General features: G+C 36.7%; 1 protein-coding gene across 4 annotated transcripts in view; it reads left to right on the top strand.

Moving 5' to 3' along the window:
* Positions 1-16,289, top strand: part of ABCB1 (ATP binding cassette subfamily B member 1) — a 210,279-nt gene that overhangs the window by 132,463 nt on the left and 61,527 nt on the right. For all 4 annotated transcript variants that reach the window (NM_001348944.2, NM_000927.5, NM_001348945.2 and 1 more), the window contains 3 exons: positions 10,610-10,661; positions 13,857-14,048; positions 14,592-14,763. In NM_001348944.2, the coding sequence (NP_001335873.1) occupies positions 10,610-10,661; positions 13,857-14,048; positions 14,592-14,763 (416 nt within the window). The remainder of the gene's footprint in view (positions 1-10,609; positions 10,662-13,856; positions 14,049-14,591; positions 14,764-16,289) is intronic.

Genomic DNA, 16,289 nt, shown 5'->3' with positions numbered 1-16,289 from the left:
TTAATAGCAAAATTGATCAAGCAGAAGGAAGAATTAGTGAGCTTGAAGACAGGCTATTTGAAATACACACACTCAGAGGAGACAAAAGAAAAAAGAATGAAGCATGCCCACAAGACCTACAAAATAGCCTTAAAAGGGTAAATCCAAGAGTTATTGGCCTTAAATAGGAGGTAGACAGAGAGATTAGAGTAGAAAGTTTATTTAAAAGGGTAATAACACAGAATTTCCCAAGCCTAAAGAAAGATATCAGTATTCAAGTACGAGAATGTTGTGGGACACCAAGCATATTTAACTCAAATAAGACTACCTCAAGATATTTAACAATCAAATTCCCAAAAGTCAAGGATAAAGAAAGGATCCTAAAAGGAGCAAGAGAAAAGGAACAAATAACATACAAAGGAGCTCCAACATGTCTGGAAGCAGACTTCTCAGTGGAAACTTTACAGGTCTGAAGAGAGTAGCGTGACATATTTAAAGTGCTGAAAGAAAAACACTTTTTATCCTAAAATAGAATATCCAATGAAAATATCCTTCAAACATGAAGGAGAAATAAATACTTTCTCAGATGAACAAAAGCTGAGGGATTTATTCAACACCAGACCTGTCTAGACAAGAAATGCTAAAGGGAGTTCTTTAATCAGAAAGAAAATGATGTTAATGAACAATAAGAAATCATCTGAAGGTACAAAACTCACTGGTAATAATAAGTACTCAGAAAAACACAGAATATTACAACACTGTAATTGTGGTGTATAACTTACTCATATCTTGAGTAGAAAGGCTAAAAAATGAACCTATAAAAAATAATAACTACAATAACTGTTCAAGACACAGTCTAATAAGATATAAACAGATACAGATATAAAAAGTAGGGAGCTGAAGTTAAAGTGTAGAGTTTGTATTAGTTTTCCCTTTGCTTGTTTGTGTATGTAATCAGCATTAAGTTGCCATCAGTTTAAAAATGAGTTATATGATATCATTTGCACACCTGATGGTAACCTCAAATAAAATAACATACAGCAGATACATAAAAAATTAAAAGCAAGACATTAAAACATACCACCAGAGAAGATCACCTTCACTAAAAGGAAGACAAGAAAGAACGAAAGAAGGAAGAGAAGATCACAAAAAACAACAAACAAAATGGCAGGAGTAAGTCTTCACTTATCAATAATAACATTGAATCTAAATGGACTAAATTCTCTAATCAAAAGACATAGAGTGGCTGAATGGATTAAAAAAAACACATTAAAATATTATTTAAGACCAAATGGGGTTTATCCCAGGGATGCAAGGATTGTTCATCGTATGCAAACTAATCAATGTGATATGTCATATCAACAGAATGAAGGATATAAAATATATGATAATTTCAGTTGATGATGAAAAGGCCTTTGATAAAATTCACCACCCTTCATGATAAAAACTGGGTATAGAAGGAACATTCATAAACAAAATAAAAGCCACATAAACAGACCCACAGCTAGTATCACACCAAATGAGGAAAAACTGAAAGCCTTTCCTTCAAGATCTGGAACAAGACAAGGATGCTCACTTTCACTAGTTATTCAGCATAATACTGAAAGTCCTAGCGAGGGCAATCAGACAAGAGAAAGAAAAAAAAAGGCATCTGAATTGGAAAGGAAGAAGTCAAATTATCCCTGTTGGCAGATGATACAATCTTATATTTGGAAAAACCTAAAGACTCCAACAAATAACTATTAGGAGTGATAAATGAATTCAGTTAAGTTGCAAGATACAAAATCAACATACAACAATCAGTAGCATTTCTACATGGTGACAGCAAACAATCTGAAAAGGTAATCAAGAAAGTAATCTCGGCCGGGCGCGGTGGCTCACGCCTGTAATCCCAGCACTTTGGGAGGCCGAGGCAGGTGGATCACGAGGTCAGGAGATCGAGACTATCCCGGCTAAAACGGTGAAACCCTGTCTCTACTAAAAATACAAAAAATTAGCCGGGCGTGGTGGCGGGCGCCTGTAGTCCCAGCTACTTGGGAGGCTGAGGCAGGAGAATGGCGTGAACCCGGGAGGCGGAGCTTGCAGTGAGCCGAGATCCCGCCACTGCACTCCAGCCTGGGCGACAGAGCGAGACTCCGTCTCAAAAAAAAAAAAAAAAAAAGAAAGTAGTCTCATTTACTATTGCTACACATGAAATAAATACCTAGGAATAACTTTTACTCAATAAATGAGAGATCTCTACAATGAAAACTGTAGAACATTGATGTAAAAAATTGAAGAGGACACAAAAAATGGAAAGATACTCCATGTTCATTGATTGGAAGAATGGATATTTTTAAAATGTCCATACTACCAAAGCAATCTACAGACAGTGCAATCGCTATCAAAATACCAGTGACATTCTTCACAGAAATAGAAAAAAGAATCCTAACATTTACATGGAACCACGAAAAAAACAGAATAGCCAAAGCTATCCTCAGCAAAAAGAACAAAACTGGAGAAATCACATTACCTGACTTCAAATTATACTACAGAGCTAGTAACCAAAACACCATGGTACAAAGAAAAGAGACACATAGACCAATGGAACAGAATAGAGAATGCAGACATAAATCCACAAATCTACAGTGAACTCATTTTTGACAAAGTTTCTAAGAATGTATATTGGGGAAAAGACCGTCTCTTCAAAAAATGGTGGTGGGAGAACTGGATATCCATATGCATAAAAATGAAACTAAATCCCTTTCTCTCACCATATACAAAAATAAAATCAATATGGATTAAAGACTTAAATCTATGACCTGAAACTATGAAACTACTAAAAGAAGACACTGGAAAAACTCTCTAGGACATTAGATTGGGCAAAGATTTCTTGAGTAATACCCCTACAAGCACAGGGAACCAAAACAAAAATGGACAAATGGATCACATCAAGTTAAAAACCTTCTGGACTGCAGAGGAAACAATCAGCAAAGTGAAGAGACAACCTGCAAAATGGGAGAAAGTATTTGCAAGCTATCCATCTGACATCAGATTAATAACCAGAATATATGAGGAACTCAAACAACTCAATAGGAAAAATCTCCAATTAACAAATGGGCAAAAGATCTGAATAGACATTTCTCAAAAGAAGCTATACAAATGGCAAACAGGTATATGAAAATATGCTCAACATCATTGATCATCAGAGAAATGCAAGTCAAAACTATAATGCGATATCATTTCACCCCAGTTAAAATGGCTTTTAGCCAAAGATAGGCAATAACAAATGCTGGCGAGGATGTGGAGAAAAGAAAACCCTTGTACACTGTTGTACAACTTGTACATTTTTGAGAATGTAAATTAGTACAACCATGATGGAGAACAGTATGGGGGTTCCTCAAAAAATGGAAAATTAAACTACCATATGATCCAGTTATCCCTCTGCTGGGGAAATACTCAAAAGAAAGGAAACCAGTATATCGAACCTGCACTCCCATGTTTCTTGCATCACTATTCACAATAGCCAGGATTTGGGAGCAACCTAAGTGTCCATCAGCAAGTAAATGGATGAAGAAATTATGATACATACACACAATGGAGTACTATTCATCCTTAAAAAAATGAGATCCTGTCATTTGCAACAACAAAAATGGAACTGGAGGAGATTATATTAAGTGAAATAAGCCAGGCACAGAAAGACGAACTTCACATTTCTCACTTATTTGTGGGAGCTAAAAAATTAAAACAATTGGACTTATAGAGATAGTAGAATGACATTTACCAGAGGCCGGGAAGTGTAGTGGGGTGGCAGAGGTAGAAGTGGAGATGGTTAAAGGATACAAAAATATATAGTTAGCTAGAATGAATATCATCTAGTATTTGATCACACAACAGGGTGACTACAGTCAACAACAATTTATTGCACATTTAAAAATAACTAAAAGGGTATAACTGGATTGTTTGTAACACAAAGAAAGGATAAATTTTTGAGGTGATAGATACCCCATTCACCCTAATGTGATTATTATCCATTGTATGCCTATGTCAAAATATCTCATACACCCTGTAAATATATACATCTACTATGTACCACCCAAATTAAAAATAAATTAAAATTAAAATTAAATAAATTTAAAAATAAAACTAAAAAAACCAGGACTATCAACTTGGCTTTATTTAAGTTGAATGTGATGTTAAATCCTCTGGGATAGAATATGGAGAAAAGTAGAAAGAATGGGAGCCCCAAGCCTTGAGGAAGAACTCAACTGTTAGCAATAACTGAAGCCAACCCTCATTGAACATTTACTATTTGCTGGGTCTTGTTCTTGGAGCTTTACATGCAGTAACTCTTTTAATTCTTAAATACACATGAGATTAATACTATTATATATGTGTGTAAAAGTATCTATATATACTTACATATAATTATATTTTATATATAATATATACTTACACACACACTTATATATAGTGTGTGTGTATATGTATAGCTCTGTGAAACCATTTGCAAATTTTTTGAATAGGTTAAGTTATAGCAGATACAACAGGTTGGGCACTGGATATATAAAGATAAACAAAATATAGTACAGTTTTCTAAGACCATAATAATATATGGTATAATAATATTTTTGGTTAAGGGTTTTCAAGCCAAAAAGTAGAATTAGTTACAATGTAATCTCTGCAATATATTAGAAAAACAGCAAAAAAAAAAAAGATCAATATACAGATAGTACCTAACCCATTCTAGGTGCTTAAGAAATTGGATGAATAAATAAAAGACTGAATAATAGAATTTTGTAGGTGAAAAGGGGCTTAGATGTTATCTAGCCTGAACCCATAATTTATAGACATACATGCCCAGGAGGTTGAATTAATGTGGCCATAATGGAATTGCTTGCGGGTTGACAGAGCTGAATTCCTGGGCCAGGAATCCTACTTTTTAGTCTGGTATCTTTTCCACTCTGCTAGTGGTTTTCACACTCTGCCTAAATTGGAAGCAAATGCCAGCACTTGGTCTTTTAAATCTCTTGGATGCTGCCCTGTAAGTTTGATTTTTAGTGTGTCAGGAAGGTCAGGCAAGAGGCACAGCTCTTCAGGCCAGAGGTATATAAACAGCTCACATAAAAAGACTGTAGTTCCTGGAATCATCTCTGTCACCTGCAGTAAGCCCAACTACACTGAGTCACAGCCTTCAGTTTGGGCCAATGCCATAGGGATTTATCATTTAGGCAAAAGATCCAAATTCCCCTTCCCTGCGGTTGATGGAGCTTTCTGCACAAGAAGAGTAGTTTATTGGTTTATTAGAGCTTCTTAAATGGGTAGAAAAGCTAAATGAAAAAAAAACGGAAGTTCCTGGGAAAAACTGTGCTAAATAGGTCAGCAGTGTTACCCTGTCACCTGAAGTTTGAGGCCTAAAAGTGAAAGGATTTCTTACTTGAACAGAAATCCGATGATATTAGAGAAAGTGGCTCTCATTCTGGGTTTATCTTCAGTGTCTGGAATGATGCCTGGCATGAAGTCTCTGTGGAAGACAGTTTGAAAACCACCTTTTCAATATAATTTCAGTTTACCAATTAGGGAATTATCAATGCATCATCAAAGGATAAGACTATACTAATGTATCCATGTTATATATTTTTTATTCATACTGTTCTTAAGTGTTCAGTTATTAAAGTTACTAAATGTACTGAAGTATTTAGGTCAAATAAAAAATCCCTAAATGGTACAGTCTTATCCTTTAAAGTCTTGCTTGGGTTTAGAAAAGGCTTTTCTTGCCAGGTAGAAAGGTCTAATGTATCTCTCTTTAATCTTAAAATATGTGAGACACTTGTATACAAAGTAGGAGAATGGTTGGATGGAATATTTTGATAAATGGTCTGGCTTGTGTAGTAGCTCTGTGAAACCACTCGTAAATTTTTTGAATATGCTAAGTTATAGCAGATACAACAGGTTGGGCACTGGATATATAAAGATAAACTAGATATAGTTCAGTTTTCTATGACCTCACACCAGTGGGAGTGGGAGGAAGAGATAGGTGTAAATAGTCATACTTCTATTTTTGTATGACTTAGTAAGTTGAATCATCTGTCAATTACTACGGAGTTCTATTGCAAGATGAGTCACTCTGCTAGGGGTAAGATGATGTAATACTTTAGTTTATTCATGGAGGAAGAGTATATTCCAGGAGAAAAATTTTGATAAAGGGCATTCCAGTTAGAGAAAGCAGAATGGATAAAGCCTTGAAGGAAGAAAATAGGATAGTTAGGGAACAGTAAACTCTTCGGTGTGCTTACAGCCAGGGCTACACAGAAGTGAGCAAAGCTGGTGAAGATGGGGATGGGGGAGTGGAGTGAGTTGACGCTAGAAAGGGATGTAGCAAATGTAACTATTATTCCAGAATCCAAGTGTGCAAAAATCATAACTTTTATTTTGTATAACATAATTTCTATTTTGAGTCCCTCTTCAGTAAATGTGGCAAAAACCCAATCTCAGTTATTTTGGGGTAGCTCTCACCTTTCCCTGGGGTGTGTCTTGGAGGCCAACATAGTTTCAGATGAGTGAGAAGGCCAAGTGTTGTTCAGCATCATCATCTACATAGGCATTCCGTCAAGCTCTCTCGTCCTCCTCTCTTAGAAGCTTTGATGTCATTCTGTTCCTTCCGTGTCTCTCTAGGTCCAAGGAGATTCTTGGAAGCTGTTCTAAAGCCGTCCCTTCAACTCACTACATATTTCCTTTTCTGAGGTCTTGCTCTAGGGTCTGCTTAGGTGGAAGGAGGCAGGCTTCTTTTACCTGGACCCTCCAGTGCCTATGTAGTCAGCAATTCTCAACTACTTATTTTCTTCTCAGCATGTGGAAAATATTTTTTCAGTCTAAAGGGTGGAGCTTAATCTCATGAAATTTAAACAAAATATTCTGTCATGCTCAGTTTCCTCTCCAACCCTCAAAGGCATAGGCTTTGGGAACATTTTATATATATATATCGTGTAGGTTTCTTCTTGGCTTTTATTACATATATAAATTTTTTTAATGCAGCAGCAGCTCTCTCTGAAGACAGTGACTGCACAGTGCTCTAGCTACTGAAATGAGGAGATAGGTGTGGGGGTAAAGGAAATATCTGGTAAATCATTGTTGGTACTTTAAACATATTTTCTTTCATGTGTATATTGTGGCAAGATTGCAAAAGAACTAATATGATGTATCATGGATCTTGATCTTTATCCTTTATGCAGTGGACTGTCATTGAAGGTTATCAATGGAAGCACTATGATTATACTTTTGCTTTCAAATATAAAATCTGGGGACAATATGAAGACCTAACTGGGGTAGAAAGATTAGTTACAGTAGTCTTGTTACAGGAGAGGTAAGAAATGATGGGGACTTGAACCAGAGCATTAACTGTGAAGAGGGAGAGGATTTGAATAGCTCTAGATATATTTTGGAGTCACTGAAGCTGTGGAAGTGGCTGAGGTCAGCCTGGAGCCTGCATAGAGTTCTGGGAAACATCAGTGTGTAGGAAAGAGGGAGAGCATAAGGGGTCAGTAACTGAGACTAAGGGAGAAGCATCAGAGTGGTGGAAGTAGGAGAACCAGGATAATGAGGTCCTACAAACTGGTGATAACCTTCAATGACAGTCCACTGCATAAAGGATGATGGTTTTATTAATGGGAGTTCCCCTGCATGTGCCCTCTTGACTGTCGTCATGTAAGACATGCCTTTGCCCCTCCTTTGCCTTCTGCCATGATTGTGAGGCCTCCCCAGCCATGTGGAACTATGAGTGCATTAAACCTCTTTTTCTTTATAAATTACCCAGTCTCAGGTATGTTTTTATCAGCAGCATACGAATAGACTAATATAGTTACATAGGTAAATGTGTGTCATGGGGTTTTTGTGTAGAGATTATTTCATCACCCAGGTATTAAGCCTAGTACCCACTAGTTATTTTTCCTGATTCTCTCCCTCCCCCCACCCTCCACACTCCAAAAGTCTCCAGTGTGTGTTGTTTCCCTCTGTGTGTCCATGTGTTCTCATCATTTAGATCCTACTTATAAGTGAAAACGTGGTATTTGGTTTTCTCTTCCTGTGTTAGTTTGCTAAGGATAATGGCCTCCAGCCCCCTCCCTGTCCCTGCAAAGGACATGATCTCATTCTTTTTTATGGCTGCATAGTATTCCATGGCATCTATGTACCACATTTTCTTTATCCAGTCTGTCATTGATTGGCATTTAGGTTTATTGCTTTTGTGAATAGTGCTACAATGAACATATGCATGCATGTGTCTTTATAATAGAATTATTTATACTTCTTTGTTGAATGCCCAATTTTTATTTTGACTGGTACACTTTGAAAGGTGAAGCACAAATAAAAGGAACTTGGTGCTAGACTTGTTTTCTATGTATTTTGATGGCTGAAGCTATAGGTATGGTGTAATTGGACATACAAACATAAAGGAGGCAATTTTGACCTTGAACAAAATTTTTTACTTTTTGAGCTATTTAGAAATGACTGTAGACTTAGAAGACATCATTGCTGAAGAACATTTATTTAAATTATCTTGGTTTCTTATCTTAAGAATTGAGAAAACTGGTAGAAACAATGAGTAGAAAACAGATATTTAGTTAGACTTGAAAACTGGTCTTCATTTGGTAGTGACATACTGGCAACAATTAATACTATATAGAGACATTTCCTGGTAAATACAGAAGATACATAATGTAAGCTTTCCCAAGATTGATTTGGAGAAAAATCCTCACCTGACTATTCAATGTCCTGTTTCATTTTTGAAAACGTGGAGCAGAAGAAATCTCACAACTGATTTAAATAAAAATTCAATCTGAAAAAGTTTATTGTTGTATTGACATAAGGCAAAGCAGTCAAGAATCCCTCTTGCATGTTTTTCTAAGCTTCTGCATCTCTTTGTTTCTTCCTTACCTTCTGTCTTACCCTTTAATGGAGTTTTCTCCAGGATTCTGTGCTTGGCCTGCTGTTTTCTCCCTATCTGCTGGCCTGTCCTTATGGGTAAGGAGAGATGGATTTAGCTATGGCCTCTAGCACATGAATCCTAAATCTTTAGATCTGAACTGTCTCTAAAACTGGAAAGTTACGGTCTGAATACTTATTGGACATCTTCAATTGAATGTGCCAGGCACTGCAAAACAAAAATGTTCAAGACCAAACTAATAATCTCTCCTCTGACCAGGGTAGCTCTTTTTGCTGACTTCTTATTTCCCACCATGACACTAGCATTCTCCAAATGCTTAGGCTTGATGTTTTGATCATTTTTAAAATTTTTACTCTCTCTACTTATATTCTATCAGTTGCTAAGTCCTGTAACTTCTTCCTCTATAAGTCTCATAAGTATTTGCTTTCTTTTCTATTCTCATTTAGACTCTCTTTCCCTACATAGTTATAGTAGCTGAAGTCCCTTAGTCTCTCCACATTCCAGTTAATCGTATACATTGCTGGTGGCTAAACTCTCGTAGAACATACTTCTAATTATATCCTATTTTGCTCAAAACTGTCGAACAACTGCTGGTCTGTTTTCTTGCACCATACCTGCAGGACCCAGATTATCTTTCCAGCTACATAACCACCTCCCTCCATCCACACAACACACTTCCTACCCCTGTCAAAAACAGGCTTACCCATTCTTCAAACTTGCCGTTGACTTTTGTCCATATTGTTCACTTTGCTAGAAATAGTTTTTCCCCTCTTTTCCATACCAGTTGAAATCAGACTCAACTGAAACAGGCCCTTTCATTTTAACATAACTTTTTGCAGTCTCGATTGTGATAATTTATCCTAGAAAATATTTACTCTTTGTACATTTATAACATATGTGTATAAGTATGTTTAACACAGCATTGCTTGTAACAGTAAAATATTGGAAACAAGTGAAATAGTTGCAACATTGAAAAAATAGATACACACATATATATACTGACAGGAAAAAATTTGGCCACTAAATGTAAACTATGACTCCATTGTTAAAAAATAAGTGTGTGTGCTTGTGTGTATATACATGCGTACATAAAATCTGAAAATGTACACACAAAAATGTTGAATTGTGCTCGTGTGTGTATATGTGTCTGAGTGTGTGTGTGTGTGTCTGTGTGTTAGGGGTAAAGTTATGAAATACTTTTATAATGTACTTTTTATCCAAAAATGTTAGCATTTGCTAATATTGGGTGATGAGCTCACTGGTGTTTATTACACTGTTCTTTGTATTTGATATTTTTAAATAAGAATAAAACTGGAAAAATGCTAAGATTTTAAATATATACCTTAGTACCAAGTACTCAATGGCATTTATCAGGACAAAAGATTTTTCTTTAGTGGGATCTTGGAGTGATATTCCAAAAAATATTTTAATTCAAGGACACTGATATTTCTGCTGACAGACTACCTCTTACCAAATGTGGGTTTCTTCTTGCAAATAAACATCACTGAGTTGGTGTATATGTGGTTGCACACAGTCAGCAGAGAAGTATTTGAATGAATGCCATAATGCTTACACACAATTAAAACTGAGTCAGTTCGACCTATTTTTATGTAAATCATTAAATGAAATGAGTTTGATTCATTTTTACATGTTTATTTTTAATGGAGACTAAAGAGACATAAATGGTATGTTTGTTTTGTGGTGGTCTAGGTGATATCAATGATACAGGGTTCTTCATGAATCTGGAGGAAGACATGACCAGGTAATTAGACATTCTCCTTACTATTGTTAAGTTTTTCTATATTCATCAAGTTGTAGAAATGTTTAAAACTTTGCATTATCATCACAGAAATTTTAAGGAGAACAATACTCTTGATAGTTTTTAGAAGAGTATATGTAGACTTTTTAAGAAAAGAATTGGCTGCATAAAGTATACAAAAGTTAGAGTTAAGCTTAAAATGGACATATATGCATTGATCAATGTAGAATATCATATTAATATATAAGGAAATTAGAGGAGTTTAAGGTAGTCTTTTAAAATGCAGTTGAATTAAGAATCATTATTTTCTATAATATATATGTGCCAGGTGTGGTGGCACATAGCTACAGTCCTAGCTACTTGGGAGGCTGATGTGAGAGGATTGCTTGAGCCCAGGAGTTCAAAGCTGCAGTGAGCTATGATCACATCACTGCACTCCAGCCTGGGGGAAAGAGCAGGACCCTGTCCCCCACACCCCCCCACAAAAAAAGAGAGAGACAGAATAATTATTTTCAATGGCTTATAATTATTAATTTGTTTCCTGGATGTTTTCATACGACATGACAATGAAAGCAGCCAAAAGAAATTTTTTTTAAACTCAACATCTGATTCTGAACAATAAAATAAAACATCCCAGAAAAAATACAGTCTCTCTATTCTTAACTCACACTGGGGAAGCTTTTGGTTAATGATTTACATATCTTGAAGTTTATTCTCCAGAACAGCTTATAACAGATGTCCAAAGGTACGTGTAGGTGAATCAGAAGAAAATGATTTTACATTACTGTGTAAATGATCTGGGTACATTTGAAAAAAATAGATTTTTTTTTTTTTTTTTTTTTGAGACAGAGTGTCACTCTGTCCCCCAGGCTGGAGTGCAGTGGTGCGATCTCGGCTCACTGCGACCTTCGATTCCTGGCTTCAAGCGATTCTTGTGTCTCAGCTTCCCAAGTGGCTGGGATTACAGGCGTGTGTCACTACACCCAGCTAATTTTTGTATTTTTAGTAGAGATGGGGTTTCACCATGTTACCCAGGCTGGCCTTGAACTTCTGACCTCAGGTGATCCACCCACCTTGGCCTTCCAAAGTGCTGGGATTACGGGTGTGAGCCGCCATGCCCTGCCGAAAATGGAGACACTTTATCATATTTTGAAAGCTGAGGACCAAATACCTCCAAATATTCCTGTGGAGAGGCATTGTTTTTTACATTGGGGAAAATGAAACAGAATGTCTTTTAATCATCATGTACATGCTTTTGAGTAAACATACACTGACAGTTTAAAATACATTAACTTATTCTCAAAGCATGAGTTTTCCTTGTGATGTGGGGTTTCTATTAGCTATCTCTTGCTATATAATGAACACTTAGATAGAATACTATCTCTTGTTGTATCATGAACACTTAGATAGTAATTAGTTATTGAGTTATCTGTTAACTAAAACTTAGTGTTCTAATTACATCTTCCTTGATAAATGCATTGTAAGTTACAAGGTAGAGTTTGGGGAAAACTTGTTTCCCAAGATTCCTGATGGGCTGAGTGCTGAATTGTGAACAGCAATGTCAGAGACTGTCTGCTTGTTACCTAGCCATCTTTATAGCTTCTGCATGATTCAAACACACAGTTTAATTTGAAGATGGTAAGTAGTGAAGTTTAAAAAGTGGGAATATTGGAATACTGTATTTTATTTTAGAATGTTTGCCTTTAACCTAAAAATTAATTGTTTAGTGAAGCCCAAGAATTGTTTGCATTTTTTTTTTTTGAGATGGAGTTTTACTCTGTCACCCAGGTTGGAGTGTAGTGGCACGATCTCTGTGCACTGCAACTTCTGCCTTCAAGCGATTCTCCTGCCTCAGCCTCCTGAGTAGCTGGGATTACAGGTGTGCACCACCACACCCGGCTAATTTTTATTATTATTATTATTATTATTATTGTCGTATTTTTAGTAGAGACGGGATTTCACCACTTTGGTCAGGCTGGTCTCGAACTCCTGACTTCATGATCCGCCCACCTTGGCCTCCCGAAGTGCTGGGATTACAGGTGTGAATTGTTTGCTTTTCTTTTTTTTTTTTTGAGATGGAGTCCAGCTCTGTCACCCAGGCTGGAGTGCAGTGGCACGATCTCGGCTCCCGGCAACCTCTGCTTCCTGGGCTCAAGCGATTCTTCTGCCTCAGCCTCCCAAGTAACCAAGTAGCTGGGACTACAGTCGCACGCCACCACGCTTGGCTAATTTTTTTGTATTTTTTGTAGAGACAGGGTTTCATCATATTGGCCAGGGTGGTCTCCAACTCCTGACCTTGTGATCTGTCTGCCTCGGCCTCCCAAAGTGCTGGGATTATAGGCGTGAGCCACCACGCCTGGCCTGTTTGCTTTTTTAAATATGAAAACTCAGAGCAAGGAAACATTAATTCAGGATTTCTAGATTGATTAAGGGTCTGTTTTTTAAGACAATACTCGTGTTTTTTAATGCTAGAATTTAAATTGGAAGGGCCACTATTTGATTCGTTAAGCATTTTAGGATAACTCACGATGGCCAGTTGGGCAAATGAAATAAAACTACTTTTTAAAAATTTCATTTGTCTCTTGGCATCTAAACTCTACTAGATTAATAGCCCAAGGGATAATCCCTAGCCCAAAAGGCCAAGGGATTATTTCCATTTCTTGATCCCACTTTCTGACAAGTTCTGTCACTTCTTTTCATCCCCAATGTACAGAGACCAACCCAATGCACTTATCAACTGATGCTGATGTAATAAAAATATTACAGTGGTGGGTCTTACCTGATGCTGTGATTCCCCAATATACCACACCATCTTTCACAGTAACTGGCATTCTCTGAGTGCTTACTATGTGCTGGGCACTGGTCCAAGTATATTTCATGCATGAGTATTTTTATCTCTGTTTTACTAATTAGAAAACTGAGGCTTAGAAAAGTTAAGCAGCTTGCCTAAGATTACATAACAGTGAAGTGAAGAGCTGGGATTTGAGCCAAAGCAGAAATCATTCTTAACCATTCCACCATATTGGTGCAAACATAGTTGGATGGTGACTATCAACTCTGCTTGTTACAACCCCTTCTTATTTGTTAAGGATGGCGAGATACCCAGATAAGTGAAAAAATAGGAATGAGTGGTCTCTTTGGAAAAGGTACATTGATTAGGAAACAGAGAGCATGTGCAGTGTTCTTGTTGTTTTTCAGGTATGCCTATTATTACAGTGGAATTGGTGCTGGGGTGCTGGTTGCTGCTTACATTCAGGTTTCATTTTGGTGCCTGGCAGCTGGAAGACAAATACACAAAATTAGAAAACAGTTTTTTCATGCTATAATGCGACAGGAGATAGGCTGGTTTGATGTGCACGATGTTGGGGAGCTTAACACCCGACTTACAGAGTAAGTATTTAGTTTTATGTTGAACTTGGGTGTCGTTCTTATCCTTAGTAAAATGAAATAGATGTCATCACATCTGTTAGGAGGTGTTAATGTATCATTCAAAGGTACTTATGAGACAAAATTCCTTCTAAGCAGCAACAATGTCGTGTGCATCCTTTTGTTCCCAGTGCCTTGACAGGGTATGGGGGGACCTGCATGACTAGCATTAAATGAAGGACTGGGCTTTGCCAGAATGAAGAAATCCTCTGAGAATGTGCAGTAGAGCAAAACAAGATACTTTCTGAGGAAATTTCTGAGCAATTTGAAATTCCTAGGTTGAATACTTCTTGTGTACACGATGTCCATTTCCTGGGGCCATGTGGGCTATGGATTTTTGTTGTTAATGACAAATATCCTAGTAGAAACTTCTACCCTGCTAAATAAAACAAAGCATAGGCACAAAATACTCTAGCCATAAACTACCCTACACTCAAAACAGGCTTCACGAGAAAAGTTGATGTTTACAATTCTGACAATTATTTCTAACACTATCTGTTCTTTCAGTGATGTCTCCAAGATTAATGAAGGAATTGGTGACAAAATTGGAATGTTCTTTCAGTCAATGGCAACATTTTTCACTGGGTTTATAGTAGGATTTACACGTGGTTGGAAGCTAACCCTTGTGATTTTGGCCATCAGTCCTGTTCTTGGACTGTCAGCTGCTGTCTGGGCAAAGGTAGGTGAAGCCTGTGAATCCAGATTTTGAACTGCACCTTCTCCCTTCCTGCTCTCACCCTACGGAAAGGTCTTTTTACTACATGATGACTCTGATTCTGTACTTGTTACTTTTACGTTTTCTGTTCAAAATCAGCTGGATAAGCATATCCAGCCTCACTGAGTACTACCCCTGCCAAGACTCCATGCTGTTCTTGGCCATGTGATTATTTGGGGAAGGGATGAGAAAGAAGAATGTAGCTCTCATATCTACCTTCTGCCTTTGTAAGAAAACGAGCAAGTAAACAAACAAAAACAAAAACAAAACAAAAAAAAAAAACTTGAACTCCAAAGAACCATGCTCTCTAGTGGATGATGCCCCATTCACACGGCAAGTAGAGACTCAAGTTTAGTGAACTACAGATGTCCCATTCAATTAACATTTTTTTTTACTTTAATGTTTTTGGCTTTCTAGATTTTTGTTTAAGTTTTAAATTGATTTTACAGTTTTGTCAGCATTCAAACACAGTTAAATTTTTGGTTATAAAATAATTTAAGAAAACAGATACTTTCTAGTCCCTAAGGATGCATATAAATCCTTGGCCTTCAGCTCTCTCTCCTGTCATGAAGGCAGAGAGGTAGAAGTGGCCCTCTCTACCCCAGCACACGTTTCCAGTGATCTTTTAAAACTTATTTTCCATTTCAAGGTGAACATGGTGTTAATTTTAAACTGATTTGATATGAGTGTATTTTCAGTAGAGAAATTGGCCCAGTATGTAATTTTTGTGGAGTTCAACACAACTCAGATAAGGCAATATAAATTCATGTAGCAAAAGTAATGAATGGACAACCAAAACCAAGCATCACACAAAATAAGTCAGGTAGTAAGTATTAAGAAACTGTAGAAATTTTAACCTGTATAATGGATATTATTTTGTTTCTGCAAATAATAATTATCATTTATTGAGCATTTATTGTCACGCAAATGCCTGTGTTATCTTTCTGAAGTATAGGTATTATCTCACTTTACAGAGAAAGAAACTGAAGTTCTCAGGTCTCTGTTAATTTTTTGCTCAGAGTAACATAGAGTTCAAATAATGTTTCTGGGGATTATCAGTTAACTAAAATATTTGGCAAAAGCTTCTTGTCAATTGATTTTTCTGTATACTAGAATGTTAAGCAAGTTAGGTGGCAAACTCTTCACATCAGTATTTGTTGAAAAATTACTTAAAATGTTTTGATGTCTGTTTTAAGATTAAAAACAGACCATGAGTTAATCTTTTAATGATTAATTATGCATTGCTTCACATGCCATTTATTTAGTAAAAGGAGCCCCAGGCTGGCTGCTAGAGACCTAAGCTTTAATCCTCACTCAGCATTACACTTTTGGTATCATTTCAAACAAATTTCTTAAATTCTTTGGATGTCAATCATATCAAAAAAGAAATGTAGTTCACTCTGTGTCTGGGAAGCCTCTTTGTGTCTGTGAGCCTGAGGCTCTACCTTCAAACCTAGAGACACAGAAGCAAATAGATATAGCAGAAAGGG

This window comes from Homo sapiens, chromosome 7 (genome assembly GCF_000001405.40).
Source record: "Homo sapiens chromosome 7, GRCh38.p14 Primary Assembly".
NCBI lineage: Eukaryota > Metazoa > Chordata > Mammalia > Primates > Hominidae > Homo > Homo sapiens.
The sequence above is the reverse complement of the archived record's forward strand: the minus strand, read 5'-3'. Positions and strand labels throughout refer to the sequence as shown.